A 23943-nucleotide genomic window follows, 5' to 3' on the forward strand; every position below is an offset into this window, starting at 1 on the left:
CAGTGTGGGGAGAGGATGGTGGGGGATGGGGAGATCTTAGCCTCCAAAAGCCAGCAAAAACTAAGTATACAAAAGGTGAGGGAGGGACAGAACCTTCTCAGTCTCAGAACTTTAAAGCCAACCTAAGCAAAACCAACTGATAACTGATGGGACCTCCTTCATCTTCTCTGAGCACTGCCTCTCTGTTCCTCAGGGAAAACCAAGTAGCTGTTTGAGATTCACAGTGACTGTGGCTTAGCCCAGAACAAGGACCACCTGCTGTGACCACAGCCAAATCCTGACATGCATCTTCCAGATGTGAACGGAAACCAAATCAAAATACCCATCTACTAGAATAAATCACAAGGGCCTCGGGCGTGCAGATGCATGCTCTGAAAGGTCTATCTGTTCCTGAGAGGGAAGGCACAGGAGAAAGGAAACAAAGGTTGTTTCCCTAAGAGTTAGGGAGCAACTTGACAAGCAACAGACGTTTTGTGTGTGTGTGTGTGTGTGTGTGTGTGTGTGTGTGTGTGTCTGCACGTGTGTAGATGGGGGAGGTGAAGAGAGTTATAACTGTAGGTCCCTTTCCATTTCAGAAAATAACCTCTGTGTTGGGACCAAGAGACAACTTTGCTTTAATTATTCAAAAAGAATCCATCTCAGGTCTGCCTGTTTCCTCCACACAGCCAACAAGAAAAAAAAAAAAAAAAAAAAAGATGCTTGCAAGTTACTGCAATGGTGGTCTTATTAGTCTTCTTTAGTGACATTATCCATCTAATAGGCTTTAGTTCTTAATTGTTTTTACAAGAATGATGTTTAATCAAAGCTAATGATATCAGCGAACTTGAATCACCACATGAACTAATTTAGCAATATGAATGCTTCATCACATTCTCTCTTTATTTCTCTCAATATTAATTAGAACCACTTTCCAAAGAAAGTGGAAGTTCCAGGGATGATCTGAATATCCCACTTTACTACCCACAGTGGACATATTCCAAGAGTCTGGCCACAGAGAGACTGGCTTTGATTAGAGCTCAGTTTTTAAGATATTCCAAATCTGGGATATTAACTTATTCTTGATTTTAACACATCATAACCAAAAAACATTATAAAATGGGCTTATGTTATTAACAGAAATTCACAGAAAAAGAAATACTACTGGCTCATGAAAGAAAAGATGTTCAACTTCACTCATAAGAAATGCATATTAAAGCCACAGGAAATATAATCTTTTTCACTTCTTAGATTAGCAAAAACTTGCAAGTTGATCAACATACATGCTTTTCAGGCTGTGGGGAAACTTACTCTCATACATTTCAGGTGGGAATATGATCTGATATAACCTTTAAAGAGGACAACTTGGCAGTATTTATCAACATTATACATGCATATACCATTTGACCCAGAATTCTACTACTGTGATTTATCTTACAGATATGTCTTCCCATGTACATAATAAATATATTCGTTATAGCAATTTCATAATAACACAATATTTGAAATAGCTCAAAACTTCAAACAGACTGGAAACAACTCAAATGTTTCTAAATAAAGAATTGGCTAAATAGAGTAGTACAACAACAAGAAATCAGTAGGTGTAGTGACAGGCACCTGTTGTGCCAACATGCAAAGATCTCCAAGATATATTTTCAGTGGAAGCAGCGAAGTGCAGAGCAGTGTGCATATGCTATATTTTGTTTTAAAAACAGAAAATTACGAATATAAATTTATAGTTGCTTCTATTTGCATAAAGAACATCTGGAAGAATTCTAAGAAACCAATAAAAGTGGTTTTCATTTTGTGTACGAAGTAGAAACTGGCTGGTGGGGGATATGGAGGAGAGTGAATCTTTTCACCATATATCTTCTCATATGTTTTGAGCTTTGAATCATAAGGCTGTACTAGAAACTACCTGCTTTGAATCTATCTATTAAAAAAAAGTAAAAATAAAGCATGATTGATTAGGATGTCATAATTTCTGAATTTTCCAAAAACATATTGCATATATATTACTGAATATACTTAAAATATCTTTTGCAACTTTCTTTGCCAACAAAGTCTAGTAAATATAAAAAGATTAACATTGAAAGACATTTTATTAATACATGTGCATAATGAAATGTTTATTTATCAATATCCACTAATGCATGTTGTGAATGAACTTTCCTTCACTTCATACTTGTAAAACAATTAGGAATTAAAGCTTATTGGATGGAGACTGCTGAAAAAAGGCAAGCACCATCATCATCTATAGTAAAAACAAAAAATGAGATGTTCAGTAGCTATCACGTCATCTTGGTAGGATAAATAAAGAATATATTTATTTATCGTAGGTTTTGAATACTGAGAAATTCGAACTCGTATTATTCTGTTTCAAAAAAGGATGTTCAGGCAGATATGAACCGAAGCAAATACTCAGATAAAAGTGTAAACAACGTTTCCTTCAAGCTTTGTTGTTGTTGTTACAGTTGTTTGAGGTCTTCTTTGTGCAATTAAAAATGAAAGAAAGAACCCAAGGAATGAAGATCAAGATAAGACAAAATAAGATAAACTAGAACATATACATTAAAGTCAAAGTAAACCCTGTGAATAGAGAAATAGTTTGGGATCCATAGGGTGAGCAGCAAGCAGCACTAAAATATGAGTGCTATTTCTCTTTTAAAACAGAGTACAAAGCCTATAAAAGGTACTTTTGGATGGGCACATTATGTTCATAATTCATAATTTTAAAATGACCCATGAGAACCAGGTACTAGACCATAGGGCCTAATGAGTATTCTAGAGTAGAAAAAATGAACATAAGGAAAGAGAGCCATTACGGGTAGATTTCCTTGCCCTCCACAAATCAACCACACTTAGGGACTATTTTCTTTCCTCTTAGTGGCACCTTTGACAAAAATAGCAGCCCACAAAATTTGCACTAAAGGCCCACTTCAAAAATTAGAGCAGTAAGGTTCCAGTGTTGCCATGTGCCAGAAGTAAAAGAAAAAAGGGCCATACATGAACATGGAAATAAAATCAATGAGGGTTACACAATGGCCAATTTATTAAACTTTTTAATTTTTATCTGCTTTGTGCAAGAAAACCAAAAGGAGGAAATAAAAAGATTTGAGGGCAATTATGAAGCAAAAACCTTCTAAAAGTGGTTGCAAAAAACAGATGACTAGATATTATCCATCTAATTTTATTGTCCAGTGAAAGAGCAACATCCAAAGGAAATTCTGCATGTACAGAGGGTTAAAAAGGGTAAGATTTTAAAATACCAGTTACTATTATATTGTTTTTAATTGTTAAAGGGGAAGTAAAAGTAATTGATCCTTTGGGGTTGAACTTACTGCCTCTTAAAAACCTCTAGTAGCAACAACTCTTCTTTAGAAAACATTTCATAATTTCAGTGAGACTTTACATCCATTACTTCATTTGATGAGTCGCTATCATCCATATAATACAGATAATATATGGAGATCAAAGCTCAGAGGCATTAAGCTACCTGCTCAAGTTTACATAGGTAGAAAGTAGTGGAGCAGAGATTCAAACTCAGTTCATGACTTCACAAATTGTGTGCTCCACACATCCTGAAGAATATGAATATGTGCAAGTAACGGTACCCTGGCAGTCTTAGATTAAAATGAGTCATTCAATTCCTCTCAAGAGTGACTAGCTAGGGCCTAAAGGTATTTTGATGATTTCTGCCAATGATCTGCTGAGGGAGCTCTCAAAATTAGGTTCAATGTTAGTTATGAAGACACATGGATGCAATGCCACCATCCAGGACCTTTGATTCCCTGTACCCAAAAGGACAATATAATTTTCAGCCATGAGTGGAGCAATGAATTGATTTTCCTTTGATTCACATTCCTGAGTAGGCTGCTTTAGAACCATGGGAAAGCTTCCACTCTCACCTTCTGGACATTCTACTTCATTATCAGGCTGATGTTAACAATAAGAGATGTTCAAAGAACAATAAACATGGCTAAGAAGCTGGTGGGATTGATTTTACACTCCAGGTAATAGCTCTCTGAGGATACTGTGCCTTTACAAAGCTGCTGATCAGTGCATTCTTTCTCTTTCTTTTTCTTTTTTTTCTTTTTCTTTATTTCTCCTTCCTGCCTTCCTTCCTTCCTTTTCTCCCTCTCGCTCTCTTTCTCTTCTTATGACACTCTTCCCACCCCTCACCCCCCCAACCCCTCCCCCCCAGACTTTTAATGGCCAGGGGAGGAGGGGGAAGAGTGGTGCATAAGCTGCTTCTTCCTCATCATAAATTAAGGGTTGGTTGTAGAAATTCTTTTGAAGACTGGAGGCTGCAGCATGATGATTCACTTTTCCTGCCCAAACTTCCCTAATTCACTCAGGTTTAGACTCTTCCAAATCCCAGAGGCAAAAGATAATGAATAAATTAAGTTTTCAGAAATTACTGTATTTAGAAAAGTTTTAACATATTTTTGGAAAAGCATTTTATAAATTGCAAAGCAGAGCGATTTCATTTACATTTTTTATATTATGGTAAAATAGACATAACACAAATTGTTCATTTTAACAATTTTTAAGTATACAGTTCAACAACATTAAGTACATTCACAGTGTTGTGCACCCATCACCCCTATTATCTTCAGAACTTTTTTTTATCATCCCAAACTGAAACTTTGTACTAATTAAACAATAACTTCCCATTGTCCCCCCACAGTTCCTGGTAACCTCTATTCTACTTTCTGTCTCTATGAATTTGCCTATTCTAGGCAACTCACATAGGGCAGTGACATAATGTGTGTCCTTTTGTATCTGGCCTTTTCACTTAGCATAATGTCTTCCAAGTGTATCCACATTTCAAGATGTATCAAACTGCATTACCTTTTATTGCTGAATAATATTCCCTTGTATGTATACATTTTGTTTATTCATCTGTTGATGGACATTTGGCTCGTGTCCACCTTTTGGCTATTGTGAATAATGCTGCTCTGAACAGTGAGGTACAAGTATCTGTTTGAGTCCCTGCTTTCAATTCTTTGGGGTATATATGTAGGCGTGGAATTGTGGATCATATGTTAATTCTATGTTTAAGTTTTTGAGGAATCCCCAAACTGTTTTCCACAGCAGCTACACTATTTTATATTCCCTCTAGTAATGCAAAAGGGTTACAGTTTCTCCACATTCCTGCTAATACTTGCTATTTTCTGTTTTTTAATAGCCATCCTAATGGATATAAAGTGCTATCTTACTATGGTTTTGATTTGCATCTCCCTAATGTCTAGTATTGCTGAGTATCTTTTCTTGTGCTTATGGCCCATTTGTGTATCTTCTTTCGACAAAGGTCTTTTCCAGTCCTTTGCCCATCTTTGAGTTAGGTTGTTTGTTTTTGCTTTTGCTGTTGAGTTGTAAAATTCTTTATATATTTTGGATATTCTTTGTCAGATATATGATCTGCAAATATTTTCTCCCATTCCATGGGTTGCCTTTTCATTCTGTCAATAATGTACTTTGATGTACAAAAGGTTTTAATTTGGAGAAGTCCAGTTTATCCTTTTTTTTCTTCTGGTGGCTGTGCTTTTGGTGTCATATCCAAGAAATCACTGTACTGATTCCACTTTGATTAACCTATAATACAATTAATTTCTAAGCAGAACCCTTGAGTTATGCTACAAGTCACTTTTGCCCCAAATAAATTCCAAACAAATACAATGTGATGGAGGAGGGAGAGGAAGTGGGGATGGGTAATGGGTACAAAAATATAGATAGAATGAATAAGATCTAATAAGATCTAGTATTTGATAGCACAACAGGGTGGCTACAGTCAACAATAATTTATTGTGCATTTAAAAATAAGGAAATATATTTGGATTGTTTGCAACACAAAAAAAGATAATTGAGATGCTGGATACCCCATTTACCCTAATGTAATTATTATACATGATATACCTGTATTAAAACATCTCATATACCCCATGAATACATACTATGTACCCATTAAAACCAAAAAATATATATACAATGTGAGAGGCTAAAGAGCAAGCATGCCAGGCAACTGAATACTGTTTCCAATTGATCTTAAGGTCCAGACAACATGGCACATGGTTTTCTCTGTTACCTGGTCCCTGCCTACTTTTTTAGTTTCATTTCCCCCTTGCCATCTAACTTCAATGATCTGGAATTCTCTGTCTCTAAAATACTCTTCATTTTCCCTATACCTGCCTTACTCATACTCATCCTTCTAGTCTCAACCCAGTCATCCCCTCTTTCGGGATGTTTCACATGATCTGTTCCTATTTCCACCTACTATTCATGCAGTGAAAGGGTTGATGTGCTAGTTTGAGCTCCTGCGGCACCCCATATGTTGTTTACTACAAGATTTACTATACAGAATTACTGTTTACTTAGCTGTCTCCCCCTCTATATTATGAATTCCATGAGGACATTGAGCATGATTTTAGTTTATTTTTATTACTATATCCTCAGTATCTAGAATACTTCCTGATGAACAGTAGATGCTCAGTAGGTAACTGCCGAATGAATGAATGAATGAACCAGACTAATAGCCTTGCCAAAAGTTTTCTGTTTCTAGAAGTAGTTACAAGAAATATTTTCATGGAGAGGCATAACATTTAGAGATATAGCCTAAGTCTCTCTGCTTTTCTTAATAATTTATCTTCAATGAACTTTATTTCATAAATCTTTAATCAAAGTAGTGTCATAAGCACTTTATAAGTATTAATTCATTTAAACTTCACAATAACTTGATAAGGCATTCTTATCTGCAGTATTCAGGAAATGAAACAGAAGCACAGAGACGTTAAGTAGCTTGCCCATTGTCACATAGCTGCTAACTGGGATTGGGCCTACTTAAAGTTGATCAGTCTGTATCATCTCTTGGTATGATGAGTTCCAACTAAATGGGAAACAATATATACTTGAACATTTCAGTCTTACAAGGATGGTCAAGTTCATGGAATTTATAATTTTTCTAAACTTGGCTCACATCACCCTCAGATTTATGGTCTAGTTTTCCTCCTGGAAGCCCCAAGTTTCCTAACTGGGGCTCACATACCAGTCATCCCTTCCCTCTTTCTGTTTCTTCTCAGAACCTGAGTCACTTCCTCATTTCTTCTGTAGGCTCAGCTGCTGGAAGCACTGGGCATTTCAAGTGCAAGTGGACCATATTTATTTTCAGGATTAAAGACATTTCCTATTTGGTTTTTGATGTCTCTTTGGTTTCAATTTGATCAATGTACTCAAACAACTACTTAAAATGACCATAGGACATTTTAGCTGGTCGTAGCTCCACATAACATTTTATAGGAATATATGAATTTTTTCTTTTAAATTTATTATCTTTTGGTTTCCTTCAATAAAACCAATCTTCAGCTACACTATTATTATTATTGCAGGGAAGCATTTTTTGAAACACAGCTCCTTTATAATTAATTCATTCATTTGTTCATATATTTATTCAGTAATTTCAGGGTGCAACGCACTGTGCTAGATGATGGAAATACAATTTTATCCTCTAGGAGTCAGTATCTTTCCCACCTAAACAGATTTCTACAATAAGATAGAAGTTAAACATTCCTCTGATTTTGAATATTTAAAAACCTTGTAAGAAAATGCATTATTTCAATTGGTTCCTCTGTTTCCATATGCATGTTTGCCCTCTCAAAGGTCTAGATTATGTTGCACAGAGATCAGCACCATTAATTTGGTTTGAATAATTAAACAAAATGTCTTATTTTGGAAAGTGCAAAAATATGTAACAAGATGATTTACAATTTCACGTCAAAATGTGTAATAGGTTGCTATGATTGTGATTAATCCCTAAAGAGAGAAAAAAATTAGAAGTAAAGTAACATTTTAAAGTAAAATAGATACATTAGAAATTCATGATTGGATAGATTACAAAATGTCTCTTGCCTCTGAATAATAAATATAATTTATTGATTCTCTCTGAATGCATTAGAGAAATAAAGCATGTAAAACAATCATTTAGGCTAAGTACATACAGCAAAGAATTGAAATTATCCTCTGCAGCAAGTACTAGGCTGATGGATAATAGCATATACATTCATTTTCATACCTCTTACCCCTTTTAAATATATCTCTAAGGAAAGACAGTGGTTATTTGACTTTCTCCATGTGAAATTTCCCATGCAGTGTAGCACATCTGTAAAAGATGTGTGAAAAGTACATTTTTCTATCAGGATTTTCATTCATAGTTAATTATTTCATTTAGCACGAGCAACATTTCCAATTTAACTTGTTCCAGAGACTGTAATATTTACAGCTAATTTCCAGCAAAACATTTAGAAATGGCTCAAAGTAAAAATTCATTACTGGGTTTTGCCATGTTTTAAAACGTCAAATGCAAATGAAAATCAAGGCAAGACTATACTTTACTTTTAGATCATGTATTTCAGTTCCTTTTTTTTTTTTTAAATAGGTTTGGTGTAGGTGGTAAGCTTGTAATGTCATTCTTTATTTAAAACACAAGGCAGAAAGGTCTCAGGAAGGAAGAGACATATGTTATTATCTGTCATGACCTTATACTTATGAATCTGGGGACAGATTTGGAGAAAGGTCTTCAAGTGACCAGATGGGCTGCCATGTTATTTAAGTTGCATATATTATAATAGCTTCATTTTGTTCTTAACCAATGTAACTCGCATCTTATCATTTACATTATTGTCTTGCTTCCATTATGGATGGTATACATTATGTTTTCCCCAAACTGAACTGACTCCTTGATCTGGGTTATGCATCCTACTTGCATACAGACATATTTTCACATACGTACTTTCCCATATGAATAGATGACCAGTAGATCTTATAACACATTTTTCTGAGAATTTACAGTGCTTTAAGTTACATCAATTTTTAAAGGGACTCAATAAAGTAATAAAATTTACACATTTATATTGAAATACAGTCATTTATACTATTATATGAAAAACCATAGTGAGTATAAGTGATTTTTTATTGTAATTGCTTTCTGACAGTAGGTATAAAATGAAGAAATTCAAAATGATGGAATTACCCTTGAAATTTGAGCCAACATAAGCAGTTTTAAAGTGTTAAGAGTTTAATGAGAAACATCACTGAGGTGGAAAAATTATGCAAACGTAAATTTTAAATGGAGCTTCCAAAAAGGAATAATTTTAAGATAGTCTAGCAAATGTAAGGGGTTGCTATTCCTTAGATGAGAAGTTTGATAAAAATATAAATAGAATAAAGAGTATATAGAGACATTTGCAAGTGTCTCCCATGTAGCATTTAATAAAATATTTATTTTATACCTACTAAGAATTTCGGGTACTGAGAGTTCCAGAGTGGGAGAGAGGAAGCACTATCAGAAAGAGAATGACTCTCTGTGGATGTGACATGGGCTGACACTTAAATGAGAAGAAGGAACCAGCCCACTTCTGGAGGGGAGATTCTCTAGGCAGAGGGAAGAACAAGCTTATCAGTCTCAAAAACACAAAACAGTTTATTTATCTTTCACTTTGGGAGGCCGACGTGGGCAGATCAACTGAGCTCAGGAGTTGGGGACCAGTCTGGGCAACTTGGTGAAACCCCCATCTCTATCAAAAATACAAAAAACAAACAAAAACAATTGGCTAGCTATAGTGGCGTGCACCTGTGCTCCCAGCTACTTGGGAGGCTGAGGTGGGTGAATTGCTTGAGCATGGGAAGCAGAGGTTGCAGTGAGCTGAGACCGCACCACTGCACTCCAGCCTGGGAGACAGAGTAAGACCCCATCTCCAAAAAAAAAAAAGTATATTTACTTTTAAAACCAAATGCTAAAAGAGTCAAACAAAAGTTCAATTAAAAATCAATATATTTATAACTAAAGTACATATTATCTTCTGAATATAAATACTACGTGTGCACAACAAATAGTATAGTATTTCTCTAGAGAAAACTGAGGAAACATTTCTTAAATGTCTTGAATATAAACCACCCATAGCTAGGAGTATCTGGATAACCTATATTCTGAAAGCATTTGCTTAGTTTGCCCTGATAAATGTGCTCTGTCCTTACTTTCTCTTGGCTTCTCTTTCTGCTGGTGTCTTATGTTCTGTTCCCATCCCCAGTAAGCTGGGGAAGGTGAGAAGGCCTTACTGTCTCAATTAAAAGGAGGTATAGTCAGCGTCACCACTCCTCATTTCACAGTTCTGGACACGAGCATAGAATCCTGATGAGAAACAGTCCTGCTTCTTTCTGTAGAAATGACTCTGCAGGTGTCAAGAAGAAAGGGCTCTGAGTCAGGACAAACGAGAACTTGGCACTGATGCTATTTTGCCAGGATTCATGCTCTCATGCTCTCTGACCATCCCTGCATGGTCCAAGTAATTCATTTCCATGGACATTAAGCTCCAAATGTCATTGTACACTGTGCCTTCCCATTTTCTAACCACAGGTGCTTACAGATTAGGCTCTTGCTTAACCTGCCACTGGCTGCTGGGCCATCATCTGCCCTACAAAGCATTATGACAGCTGTACTCATTCCTTTGATGAAGAATACTTAGATGTTCTTTCTCATCAGTCAAGGTAGCTCACACTCACTTTACAAATACTATATTACTATTGGCTCTTCATCAGATGATTTCTTTGTGGTAGATTCCGGTGCCTATCCTTAAGATGTTTCTGTACTGCTAAGGAGACTGCAATCCTGAAATTCAACACAACAACCAAGTCTACCAAATCTCTGGCAGGACTACCAAACAGACTCCTAATTGATTTCCCTGATTCTTCTTCATTTCATCAGAGCTCAGTACACAAAACAAAGTGAAAATATCAGTTCACTTTCTCATTCACTCATTAATTCAGCAAATATCCACAGTATGTATTGAATATTTTCCATGTGTCAAGTATATGTCTGACAAGTGTCAAAGCTGACTGTAGCAGTTCTCACAGTGTAGTTGGGGAGGGTGAGTAAGTTACTGTAGTGGACGAGTAATATTCTTGTCTAATTAGCATCCATTTCTCCCTTTTCTTCTAATAGTATCTGGATTTATCTGAGGATACGTCTTTCCCCAAGTCAGCCCCATGCCATTTGAGTGGAGCTGATTTTCCCTGCAGATTTGAAGAAGGGGTTGCAGAGACCTAGTTCTAGTCAATCAGAACACTGGATCCCCTGGGTGTAGTGACTGGTTCAGAGTCGGGGAGTCATTCCCTCAGACATAGCAGGACTCGACTTGAGGCCCTTTGTTGGAAATTTTACAAAGGAAGAAAATCTCCTTCTGCTAGTCTTGGAGCTGGGATTGTGTAAGGGCTCCCTGGGGAGAAGCCTGCCTGCCTGGGAATGAGGGTGAGAGGGAGGGAGAGCCTGAGAGGGCTGGAGAGCAGGAGTGTGAGGAGGAGGCTAGGGGAGAAAGGGAGAAAGGAAAGAGATTTGTTTGTGAATTCCAATACTTGATCATTTAGATCTAGTTGTGCCCAGAGCTGTAAGGACGATGACAGAAGCACTAACAAACCACAAAATAAGCATCGAGGAGAAATCCCCCAACTCTGCTTGGAGCAGCTGGGGAAAGCCATAGCCACCTGGCACCTGCCCATCCTTCACTATTCTTCAAATGTCATCTCTTCAGAGCAGGCTTTCTCTAGATCCCTTATTTGTTCTAAATAGATTGTGAGCTCACAGATACCAGAGAACATGGCTTGGTAATTTTATATCTCTAGAGCTCATCACTGTGCCTGTTAGAGGGAATATACATTATGCCTTCAATAAAAATTCCTTGAGTTCCCCTGTGTACCTAGGCCTCCAGTGAAAGCAGGGGTCTGAACAGGACCCTAACACTGCCCTGCTTTCAAGGGATTTCCCGTACTAACATGTACAAGGAACCAGCCTTCAGCAGGAAATCTAAACTAGCTTGTTCCTTTTCTCATTTTCCCTCCTCCTCTCCTGCTTCCTCCAGCCCTTTTAGTCCTGTTAACCCCTCATCAGAGTTTAATACAAACATCACCATGCCACTTCTCTGAAAGCTTTGCCAATTTAGGCCTAGTTTTCCTTGTTGTGTATTCGCAAAATTTCTTGTAATTTTCCTTCATATAAATCAGGGCACCTCTCCACCAGGGGTGAATTTGCTCCTTTCCTGAGATTATGTGACAACATCTGGAGATATTTTTGATTGTCACAACTGGGGAAGAGGTTGCTGTTGGCACCTAGTGGTTAGAGGCCGGGGACGCTGCTAAACACCCAGCAATGCCCAGAACAGCTCCCACAGCAAAGAATGATCCGGCCCAAAATGTCAATAGGGCTGAAGTTAAGCACCCCTTATATAAATAATCACAGTTTAGAGTTAGGCATCTATTTTTTACCCCACCAAACTATGAATTCCAAAAGGGCAGGGACTAAGTCTGTTTTGCACCATTGTACTTCCACACACTCACAAGTAGTAGCTACTCAACAATCATTTTTAAATGCTATCATTAAAGGAATGTTAAATCTATTCTCTGAAACACAATACACCATTCAGGTAATTTTTCCTTCTTTATTGCAAGTATGCATATTAGCATGCAAAATTTAATTCTCTGTTTTCATTTATCATATTCTAGAAACAAAAGTTCTGAATTGTATGGCTGGATTTTGGTGTAATTGAGGAGGCTCTATTCCACAAGAAAATATTTGTTTTAGTACATTAGGATATTCTTGGGAAGTTGACAAGACATATTAAAATGAATGAGCCTGGCTGGAGCAGTCCCTCACACTTTGCAGCACATAGTGCTGACAAGCCTTAACGACACAAATGGCATGAAGCCTAACACATGTGATGACCAGCATTTCACAGAGTTATCAGAGTGGCACTGTCATGTTCCTGAAGCAAAAGGTGATACAAGCTCCTATACTTCATCTCCGCTCCCTAATAACAATAAGCTTGGATTCCACTGAGCCATGTCTTCGATGACTGGTAGTTCTAAAGCCTCTAATTATAATCTTGAGTCGTAATATTTGCTTTAAAGCTTTAACTCAAGTGAACATTCAAATGTAATTTTTCCACAGAAGTCAATTTCTGGAAGGGACACAATGTAAAAACACAGGGAAAAGAACGTGGTTAATTATTAAACCAAATCTGAAACAATGTACTAAAATAACACTTAAAAGCATGTTACAAACCACACTGGACCTACTTTCATCCAGAAATGTTTGCTTTCTCCATGAGGGAGTGAATTCTTTAAATATACATAGAGCCTTCATTTGAAAGAATACTAACCCATTCATCTATTACATTCCCATGTTGAAATTTTGTGTGAGAAAATATGTCAAGATTCTAGTTTCATATAGCTTAATTTTACCTTAAAAAGACCCACAAGCCAGTTTTGGTTCTTGTTGTTTTTCCTGAAAGTCTTTGAATCTCGGGTTTTTACTCTATTAAGTATAGGCCAGGGCTTGGGGGCCTTTACACACTTTTTTTTTAAATAATAAATTTTGCAGCTACAATATCCAAGGCTCTTTCTACTAGGTATTGAAGAGAATATAAAAAAATTCAGAGCTGGGTGTGGTGGCTCACACCTGTAATCCCAGCACTTTGGGAGGCTGAGACAGGCAGATCACTGGAGGCCAGGAGTTTGAGGCCAGCCTGGGCAACATGGTGAAACCCTGTCTCTACTAAAAATACAAAATTATCTGGGCATGGTGGTGCATACCTGTAATCCCAGGTACTTAGGAGGCTGAGGCACGAGACTCCTTGAACCTGGGAGGCAGAGGTTGAACCAGGATCAAGCCACCACACTCCAGCCCGGGCAACAGAGCGAGACTCTGTGTCAAGGAAAAAAAAAAAAATCAGAATCCCTGTCCTCAAATCCCAACTCTCAGTCTCTCTGGATGTGGACTTTTTCCTCTGGTCTCTTCCCTCAAGGGGCTTAAGTTCTTATGGGGCAAAAAACATGGACTTTAGAGCTTGATTTGTATAAAAATTTTTTTGAGTGAAAGAATGAATCGCATTTGCCAGGTGAGAAAAGTAAGTCTTGGAGAAGTTAGTTGAAAACAGTTTAAAATGGAGTCTATCTTCCTGGGTGTCTTAAAGGCCATACATTCAAAAGTTAGCTGTGCTATCATTATGAGACTGTCTATGAGGGCATGGACATGAGGGCAGTGAGCAGAGACTCAGAGTGGTTCAGTTACTCTCTTATGAATCAAAGCAATAGTCTGCTTCTGCATCTTATCACATTTTCAGTGCAATAAAAGATGTTTTCAAATAGGTGAAAGCCTCTATTGAAGAACTGTCTATTCTTAGGATTTTACTGAGATTACATTGTAGAGAAGAAATAGCCAGAAAGCATTTCTGCAAAACTAAATCTCCACGTTTGTTGGCTATATTTATTGGGATAATTTTAGTAATAATAGATGAGAAAAATAAAACTTTTTTTTTTTGGAGACAGAATTTCACTCTTATCCCCCAGGCTGGAGTGCAGTGGCATGATCTCCACTCACTGCAACCTCCGCCTCCCAGGTTCAAACGATTCTCCTGCCTCAGCCAACCAAGAGTAGCTGGGATTACAGGTGCCTGCCACCATGCCCGGCTAATTTTTGTATTTATAGTAGAGAAGGGGTTTCACCATGTTGGCCAGGCTGGTCTTGAACTCCTGACCTCAAGTGATCTGCCTGTCTTGGCCTCCCAAAGTGCTAGGATTACAGGCATGAGCCATCGCGCCTGGCTAAAACTTTCTATTACTCCAATGACAGTAAGCAAATCAGGAAAGCTAATATTTTCTTGGGCATGGGCTTGATTGAAAAAAACCGCTGAAGCTGGCGTTATTTCTTATTGATTTTTGTTTCCCACAGAGCATCTTGTACATTATAGGCACTTGATAAATATTTGTTCATTGGCTCTGCTTACTGCTCTGATAAAAGAGATCTTAAAGGTGATATTCAAATAGAACATGAAAACCTACTAACAAAACAATACTATCTATACCTAACTGTTTCATTGAGTATAATAGCACTACTAAAGTCATATAGAGTGTACCCATTTTCATTGCTGCCATTTTCCTCCATTTAGCAAGCATTAAGAAGATGCGAGATTTCTCTCTTTCTCTCTCTCTCTTTTTAATACGATGCCCATCTACTGTCATCATCTGACTTTCTGTGTAACAAAGGGAAAAAGACAAGTGATACTATGCTTATTATTATGGGAGACTGATGACAAATTACAGCATAGTGGTCCTACCATGTGAGTCAGTTGATATAGAAATTTCTATCTAAGCAGAGGATTGTCACAAGGTGAGTATTTTAACGTGACAGAACTAGAGCAGAACATGTAACACTGAATATGTGCCAAGGACTGGCTGCATATTTTATATGCATTATTTTATTTAAGTATCGTATAACCCTATGAGGTAGGTATTTCTTCCTACACAAGCTCATAATGGAAAATAACATATGTGGGACTGTGAAGGGGAGGTGAGAATACTGAGAGGATCTCAGGAGCCTGTCTCCTACCAGGGCTTCCAAGGTGGCATTCAGCTCCTTGGTTATTTTACCATGGTTCTCATCTTTGGGCCTCTCCCTTGTAGGTGTAGAAACTTGCATTATCAGCAAGTCAAGAGTGGCCCCATTTCTCAGAAGTAAGAAATGCATCACCAAACCAAGGGGACTGGAGTATAATGAGACTGGTGGAAGTATAGTAAGACATTTGTTGTCACAGGTATAGAACACTTGCTATAAACAGAACTGCATGGGAGAAAAAATAAAACCAGAAGGTCACAAGGCAAGTAGGGAATGGAAACAAAATAAGCTTTATCTAAAGAGAAGGCAAAGCCATTGTAATTGGAGCCCTTGGAGCTCTCAGCAACAACCCCTCTCTATCTTTACATCAGGGATGATCTAGTTATTGGGCTTGGAACACTTGAAGACCACTAGCTGAGGTACCCTCTCTTCCCTGGATGGTGCCAATGTTTCCTTCTGCCATCCTCCTTTTTCCCATGCTTCCTTCCCCAAAAAGGAAGGTTTCTTCCCTTTTTCCAGTGAGAACCAAATTCCATTCTAATGAACACTTTCCTTATCGATTTGTATAGACACATTTGGTCAGGTCACATTCAGGTCTTGCTTTATAAAATTCTTTGGTCTCATGTTGAGGAAATGGTTCTTAATCTCTTTGGGGTCATAAACTCTTTTAAGAATGTATTGAAATACAAAGACATATAAATTAAAATACATACAATTTTGAGGGATTTCAAGATTCTTAGAAACTCATACTGGAATCCAAGTTTTAAAACCACTGCTTAAGAAAACTGTGCATAATCCTGCTCTTATCCATTAATGTAGTGATAAGGTGTATCAGAGTCTATGAGGGACCTATAATCCTTATGAATTGGGATTGATTCTATTTTATAAAGAAGAAAATTGAAGCTCAGGGTATAAGTGACTTGCTTAAGGCCCAGTGAGGGCAGAATACAGAATATGTCAGTCTCTGTAGCAGATATAAGAATATCTGTAACTTTTTTATTTTTTTGAGCAGGGTCTCTCACTGTTGCCAAGGCTAGAGCGCAGTGACACAATCTTGGCTCACTGAAGCCTTGACCTCCAGGGCTCAAGTGATCCTCCCACTTCAGCCTCCCAAGTAGCTGGAACTACATGTGTGTGCCGCTATGCCCGGCTAATTTTTGTGTGTGTATGTGTATATATATATGTGTGTGTATATATATATATATGAGTATTTTATATGTATTATATATAATATATATAAAAATATATTATATATATATTATACTATACCATACTACACTATACTATACTATACTATATATATATAGTAGAGATGGGGTTTTGCCATGTTGCCCAGGCTGGTCTTGAACTCTTGAGCTCCAGCAATCCTCCCACCTCGGCCTCCCAAAGTGCTGGGATTACAGGCATGGGCTAATGCGCCCAGCCAAATGTCTGTAACTTTTAAGATCACTATTTAAAAATAAAACTTTCATCACAAATTCAAAAAATCCAGAAAGAGAATGTGGAGAGAGAGGGAAATGGCATTTGTAACTTTTGAGTACCTGAAGATGGCCACATTTTTTTTCTTTTAGTCAGTAAAGACATGGATTAACTTGCCACTATCTGCATTTTACAGAAAAGTAGAAATTTCCCGAGGTTAAATAACTTGCCCAGATTTCTTTAACTATAAGTGACAGAACTAGAATTTGAAGTAGGAAACTAAGAAGTTGTATTTCATAAGCTGTGCTCTTACCCCCTCTGCTATGTGACCCCTGGCCACAGCCTAAGCAATTTCTGGCTTCACTCATCTCTATTGGCAAGGTCTTAACTGAAGTTGCCAAAGGCAGTCAAATAACATCCTTTAAGCACACTTGAGAGTGTGATTGTGCAAAAACAGTAAAGCTTCAAGTTCAAAAGAGTCAGAGTCCAGGATAACCCTCAGGTGGATGAGAGGCATATGATTCATATCCTTTCCTTCAGTTTTTCAGAGACATAAAATGGTTTATGTTCGACTTCAAGAATGGTCTATCTTTGCATTTTCTTTGTGTGTTGTGTTATACTTCATTAGGCAACAAAGGCTTCTTTTCTTCTCCTCCAGGTAATAAGTAGTGATTTATCACAATCACCTGTCACATTTAACTTAGCATTCATTCCACGAAAAGATTTCCCATACATTTCCAATGTGAAATTTAAATGTTAATGTCCATAGATAAAGAAGTATAGCAGTATGTGTTACATTTTTTTTCCCACTATGAAAACCATTTTCAGGAATTTAGACTGTTAAATAACCATTCCTTTTATGAGACTAGCTCTAAAAGATACATATAAATTTTGAAATCTATAGTATTACTTGGCAATTTTAGTGCTTTACTTTTTGCAGCCAATCATGGAAGACTTGCTTTTATAGCTTTCTCTGCAGAGTCATCTTAATTATAGGGAAATCCCTTTACAAATGGCTTTCCATTTACAGTGCTTCAGCTAGAATCTAAAGTTGGTTTTATTGGAAATGATAAAAAATTACTCTTCCTGAGACACAGAGTTAAGAATCAGAATTGGAAATGAACTAAGTTCTTTTAGCTTTAGAAAAAAAATTTAAATTGATCATATATTCTTCCCTTCTAAACAGTTTATCCCAAAGAGGTTTAACACAGTAAAATCTCTTTGACTTTCAGACACTTAAGAAAATGTTTCAAGGCAAAGAAGTCATATAGATTATCTAATTCAATCCACACATTTAACTGAATGTGAGCTTCACCCAATTTACAGAACTAGTGATAGAGCTGGGACTAGAACCCCTGCCTACGGGGTATCATTTGTACCATTTCAGCCACACTCTGCTTCCAATGTTGGACTCTTCTTGTGCTTTCTACATAACCCACATGGGTGGGAGAGATCTCTGGACCCAATAACAGAAATTTATTTTAGTCTTTCTTTATAGCATCTAGACAACCTGGCATCATATTATTTGTTCATTTGGCTATTGTTTTTCTCCTTCAACAAATATAAACTCCAGGAGGACAAATAATCTGTGACCTCTAATGGTGTCTGGCACATAGTAGGAGTCAATAAATAACTTGTTAAATGGAATTTCAAATTTAACCTTAAACATTCTTGTTTAAAATACATAGTTTGGGTCAGGTGCAGTGGCTCATGCCTGTAATTCCAGCACTTTGGGAGGCTGAGGTAGGAAGATGGTTGAGGTCAGGGGTTCAAGACAACCCTAGGCAACATAGCGAGACCCCATCTTTATTAAAAAAAATAAAAATTAGCTGGGCGTGGCGATGCAGGCTTGTGGTCCTAGCTACTTGCAGGGGGTGGCTGAAGCAAGAGGATCACTTGAGCCCAGGAGTTCAAGGTTACAGCAAACTGTGATCATACCATTGTACTCTAGCCTGGGTGACAGAGTGAGACCCTGTCTCTAAAAAAAAAAGAAAAAAAGAAAAAAGAAATAAAATTTATACGTTACATTTTACTTCCTAAAATATCCATGTTTGCTTTGACTGGAATTTTAAATAATTAATATCTGAATGTCTTCAGGGAAGAATAATTATTCAACAAGATAAGGAATCATCAAAAGAAAACATCGTAAATTCCATTATATTAAGGGCTTCTACTCAACAAAAAGCCACCATAAAGAGATTGTAAATATCAGAAATCAAGAGAAGAAAATTGCAACACATAAAAGAAACAAAGGATTAGTATCCAGAATACATAAATAACTTCTAAAAACCAGTAAAGAAAATAAATACCAGTTACCCATTAAAAATAGTAAAAGATATAAACATATATTTTAAAGAAGAGAAAACACAATCACTAATGGCCAGTAACGACCAATAAAAGTAAGATCAGCTATTTCACCTCTTTAGTAATCAGGGAAATGCAAACTAAAAACCATGGTAATATACCCTTAGTCTAATTTAAAGCAGGAACTCAAAGAGACATTTGTACACCCGTGTTCATAGGAGCATTCTTCACAACAGCCCGATGGTGGAAGCAACCCTACTGTCGACAGATGGATGAATGGATAAACAAAATATTCTGTTTACAAATAATTTACAATGGAATATTAGCCTTAAAAAAGGAAGAAAGTCTTGTCACATGCTATAACATAAACTTTGATGACATTATGCTAAGTGAAATAAGCAAGGCAAAAAGGGGCAAATACTGTATGGTTCCATTTCTATGAGGCATCCAGAGTAGTCAAATTCCTAGAGACTGAAAGAGAATGGTGGTTACCAGGGGCTGACAGGAGAGGGAACGGGGAGTTATTGTTTAATAGGTAGAGTTTCAGCTTGAGATGATGAAAAAAAGGTCTGGAAATAGATTGTGTTAACGGTTGTACAACCATATGAATGTACTTAATGCCTCTGAACTACGCACTTAAATATGGTTAAAATTGTAAAGTTTGTTGTGAATGTTTACCAACAACCACAATGAGATATCATTTTATATCCACTAGATTGAAAACAAAAATCTAACTTCTGACAATAGCAAGCATCTGTTAATTGCTATGGAATGAATTGTGTCTCCCATCCACCCTAAATTCATATGTTGAACCCTAACCTCCCCCTACCTTGACCATTTCACAATATGACTGCATTGGAGATAGGGCCTTTAAGGAGCTGATTAAGGTTAAAATGAGGTCTTAAGCATGAAGCCCTGATCCAACAGAGCTGGTGTCTTTATAAAACAGGGGGAGACATTAGATCTCTGTGTGTGTGTGTGTGTGTGTGTGTGTGTGTGTGTGTGTCTCACTCTCTCTCTCTCTGTGCCATGTGAGGACATGAAGAGAAGGTGGCCATCTGCAAACCAGGAAAAGGGCCCTCACCAGAAAATCAAATCTTGCTGGGACCTTGATCTCAGACTTTCCAGCCTCCAGAACTGTGAGAAAATAAATTTCTGCTGTCTAAGCTGCCCAGTCTATGACCTATTGTTAGGACAGCCTGAGCAAACTAAGTAACAGTGGAGCAACGGGTGTCACATGCTGCTGATGGGAGGGGACACAGAACAGTCTGGCCTGGTCCAGCACAGCTGCACTGGTGCAGGCCCATAACCCAGCCAGGCCGCTTCATGGTGTGCATTCCAGGGAACCTAGCGTGTGTGTAACATAAGACAAGTAGAGGGAAGTTAACTGGGGCATCATTTATATTGGCAAAATCTGGAAACAACCAAAATGTACACTGATGGGAGAGTAGAAACTGTATAAAATAAATAAATAAATAAATAATAAAAAAAGATAAATAAGTTTAAAAACACAGGACAACCTTATATTTGGGAAGATAAAGGATGATGAAATCTTTGAGGGATATAGAGGGGCTTAACATGGTTACCAATATTCTGTATTTTAAGCTGGGTGATGGGCATGTGAATGTCTTCTTTTGTCTTCTTTTTTAAAACATGTATGTCCATCTACATACTACATACTCTTATTTTACACATCTAGTATACATAGTAACAATTTAAATGAATAAAAATATGCAAACCCAAAAGCATATAGCTTAATTTTATTAATCTTGGTCCAGAAATTTTTGTTAATAATTTTATATCTCTCCTCTTGTTATTTTTGTATGTTTTTTTTTAAATTTACAGAAGATAAACAGTTAAAGTAATTAAGCTCGACTTAAAAATTTCAACTTCTTATTTTATTCATTCAAAATCTGAGCCCGCTGGGAGCCAATTTTCCATAAAGACTGCAGAATCCTCTACTGATCTCCCAAGTCCTCCTAGTCTTGCTCAGCTCCGTTACACAATTTTCCAGCATATCTGTCTATCATATGATAATGCAGGAGAGAGAGAAATGGAAGGTCATAAATAAACAGAGTGTAAAACTTCAAGTTTCAGGGCATAACTGGGACAGATAACTAAGCAAGCAAAATTCTGATATAATAAATTACTTGAACTGCCTGAAAGAGTCAGCTACATAAATCACAATTTTACTGGAAGTGCTACAAAAATCCATGCTGGCTACCAAATGCACTGTGAACACTAAAAATTCTTTTGTACGCTGTCAGCCAAGACTCCACATGGTGTATGTAAAGTCTGAGGGCCATTTAGATATATGCCACAGGCTTCTATACACAATGATCAAGAACAACTTTCCCTCTCAGAATGAGAACATAGTTGTTCTTATGAAAGCAGTTATTTTTGTTATGGCTTGGGGTGAGAGCGATGGCAAGTTGTTAGAAAGAGTGAGAGTAAAAGGTTATGAATATTGAAACCCCTAACAAATACCATATTTTGCATTTTATTCCACAAATTATTTTGAGGGTTCTGATGATGTTACATATAACTGTTTTAGGTGTACTCACATTTATCACTTTATTTAATCTGCAATATATACCCTTGATAGGTATTACTTCTCCCATTTTGTACATTAAATAAAGAGAAAGAGGTTAAATAACCTGCCCAGGGTTACAATGTGAGCAGGTGAGTGTTAAAATTCAAACCTAGTTCTTCTTAATCAAACCCCAGTACTTTGGCCACTGTACTGTTTCTTACTGCCCCACAAAATAGTTTTTTATAATGACAGACAAAATAGTTAACAAGTCAAGAGCTAATCAGCCAGGCTCCTTGATTCTTTCCCTAGTTTAAGCACTTCTCTTACCTTTTTGGCTATATTCCTACTAATTAGTTTTTAGTAAGATAAACAAGAAATAAAATACGAAATCAATTTTGTCAATTTAGGCCCTTCTTTAAAGGTCAGATCATCATGTCTAAGGTGAGTGTTGGGATCTCATTCTCTCTCTCTCTCTTTTTTTTGTCTTGGTCTCAGCTTTACATCCCATAGCTTTACTTGTAACACACACAAAGTGCATATGATATAGTGCTGGCCTACAGCCAGAGTTGTGAGGTGACAGTGCCTGGGTAAAAACCCAGGGACAATACTCAACAGCTCTGTGCCTTTGGGCATTTTACATAAGCTCCTTGTGTTTCAGTTTCTTTGTGAAATGGGGATTAGTTTGGCTACGAGGATTAAACAATATAATGTATTAGGTTGGTGCAAATCTAATTGCAGTTTAATAGCTAAAGCATGTAGTCAATCCTGGCATATAACAAGAGGCTAATAAATGGCATTATTATTAGTAGCAGATATACATATATACATATGTGTAAATATTATATATTTTGTAATATATGCCTAATAAATGTTAGGTATTCCTATTACTATTAGTATACCACCGTTAGTAGGGTACTAATAGTATTACTAATCACAGAGTATGCTACTACTAGCGAACTGAAGTGCCATGTAGGGTGGGAAGAAGTGAGTACTGAGGCAGAAAAGGATTAGGGAGACCTTCTGGAAGAGGCTGAGCTTGAGTTATGTTTCAAAGGGTAAGCAGAAGTTAGCTAAAGGAAGAAGATGTGTGCATTGGGGGAGGGCGTTCCAGGAAAGAGGGAATGGCATTTGTGAAAGCACACAGCATAGAACAGCACAATGTACAGGCTGGATGGGTGAGGGAGAAAATCAGGGACCAATTACAGCAAAGTGGGAGGAGCAGAGATCAAATTTAAGTGGATTCATTAAGGATTGGATAGCAAGTGGAAAATGACTCTTTCAGGTAGGTGGGTTGTGAAGAGATTAAATAGTTATTCCAGGAGTTAGAAAGAACCACAGAAAAGAATGATAAATAATCCAGCATAAAATGTCCCTTTGAACTATCATTGCATTCTTAGTTTTCAAATTTTTGAATCTTCTAGTTAAAAGTCTAAAATTTCAGAGATAAAAGTTGTAAAAAACATCTGCTTCAAATATCCTCATTGCCATTTTTCTATTAAAAATTACCACACATGAAAATGTGCAAAAACTATTCTTTCATGACACATATGAGCAACTGGATGAATTTAGTACAAGCACAGTTACACTAGTAGAATTAAAATAGAAGCTGAGACAAGCTCTGAGGAAACAGAATTAAACAACATCATTCTCTATCCATCCTGAATGACCAACAACCCCTTGAACATATGCTATGCCTTTCCACATACCCACACCTCTCTCTAGAATGTCCTTCACTCCTTTCTTTCTGGCCTGATATTTTCTACTTGGTCTTCAAAATTCAGCTGAAGGGTCACTTCTCCTGAAAGCCTCCACCAACCTTCCAACCAGCTTTAGGTGCTTGTTCTCTTGGTCCCAAAGCATCTCATGCATACTTCCATCTCAGCTCTTTCTACACCGTAGTATAATTGTTGCTGTTATGCTTATTTGAATTACTACTAAACTATGAAGTTTTTGAAGACAGAGATCATAGTTATTCAGAATAGATACCAGGCCTGACTCTATCCCTCTAATTCCAAGCACATTACTTAGCACATATTAGTTGCTGAATAAAAATATGCAATTTGTCAGTTCAACATCAGACAAGCATAGACTGAAAAATAAATTGGTCATCCCTAGAATAACAAGATGTCTTTTAAACAGATTCCTGATTTCTCCATCTCAAAACTACAAATAGATTATATGGCAAAATATCCCAGAGATACTCAAGCTAGAAGAAAAGACTCAAACGATGTCTCTCGAAGTTGATTTTGAGAGTGATGAGAATGTTCTCCTTCTT

At 37.1% G+C, this 23943-nt stretch overlaps 1 protein-coding gene across 22 annotated transcripts in view, besides 1 other annotated feature; it reads right to left on the minus strand.

Annotated features, from left to right (window-relative positions):
• Nucleotides 1–23943, minus strand: part of GRIP1 (glutamate receptor interacting protein 1) — a 721908-nt gene that overhangs the window by 269183 nt on the left and 428782 nt on the right. The gene's annotated exons all lie outside the window — the stretch shown is intronic.
• Nucleotides 11562–11701: an enhancer, noted in NCBI's record as "active region_6621". NCBI's record gives its function as "activates an Ori minimal core promoter by ATAC-STARR-seq in GM12878 lymphoblastoid cells {active_cell/tissue: GM12878}" and the evidence as "EXISTENCE:reporter gene assay evidence [ECO:0000049][PMID:35858748]".

The sequence above is a fragment of the Homo sapiens genome, chromosome 12 (genome assembly GCF_000001405.40).
Source record: "Homo sapiens chromosome 12, GRCh38.p14 Primary Assembly".
Classification (NCBI taxonomy): domain Eukaryota; kingdom Metazoa; phylum Chordata; class Mammalia; order Primates; family Hominidae; genus Homo; species Homo sapiens.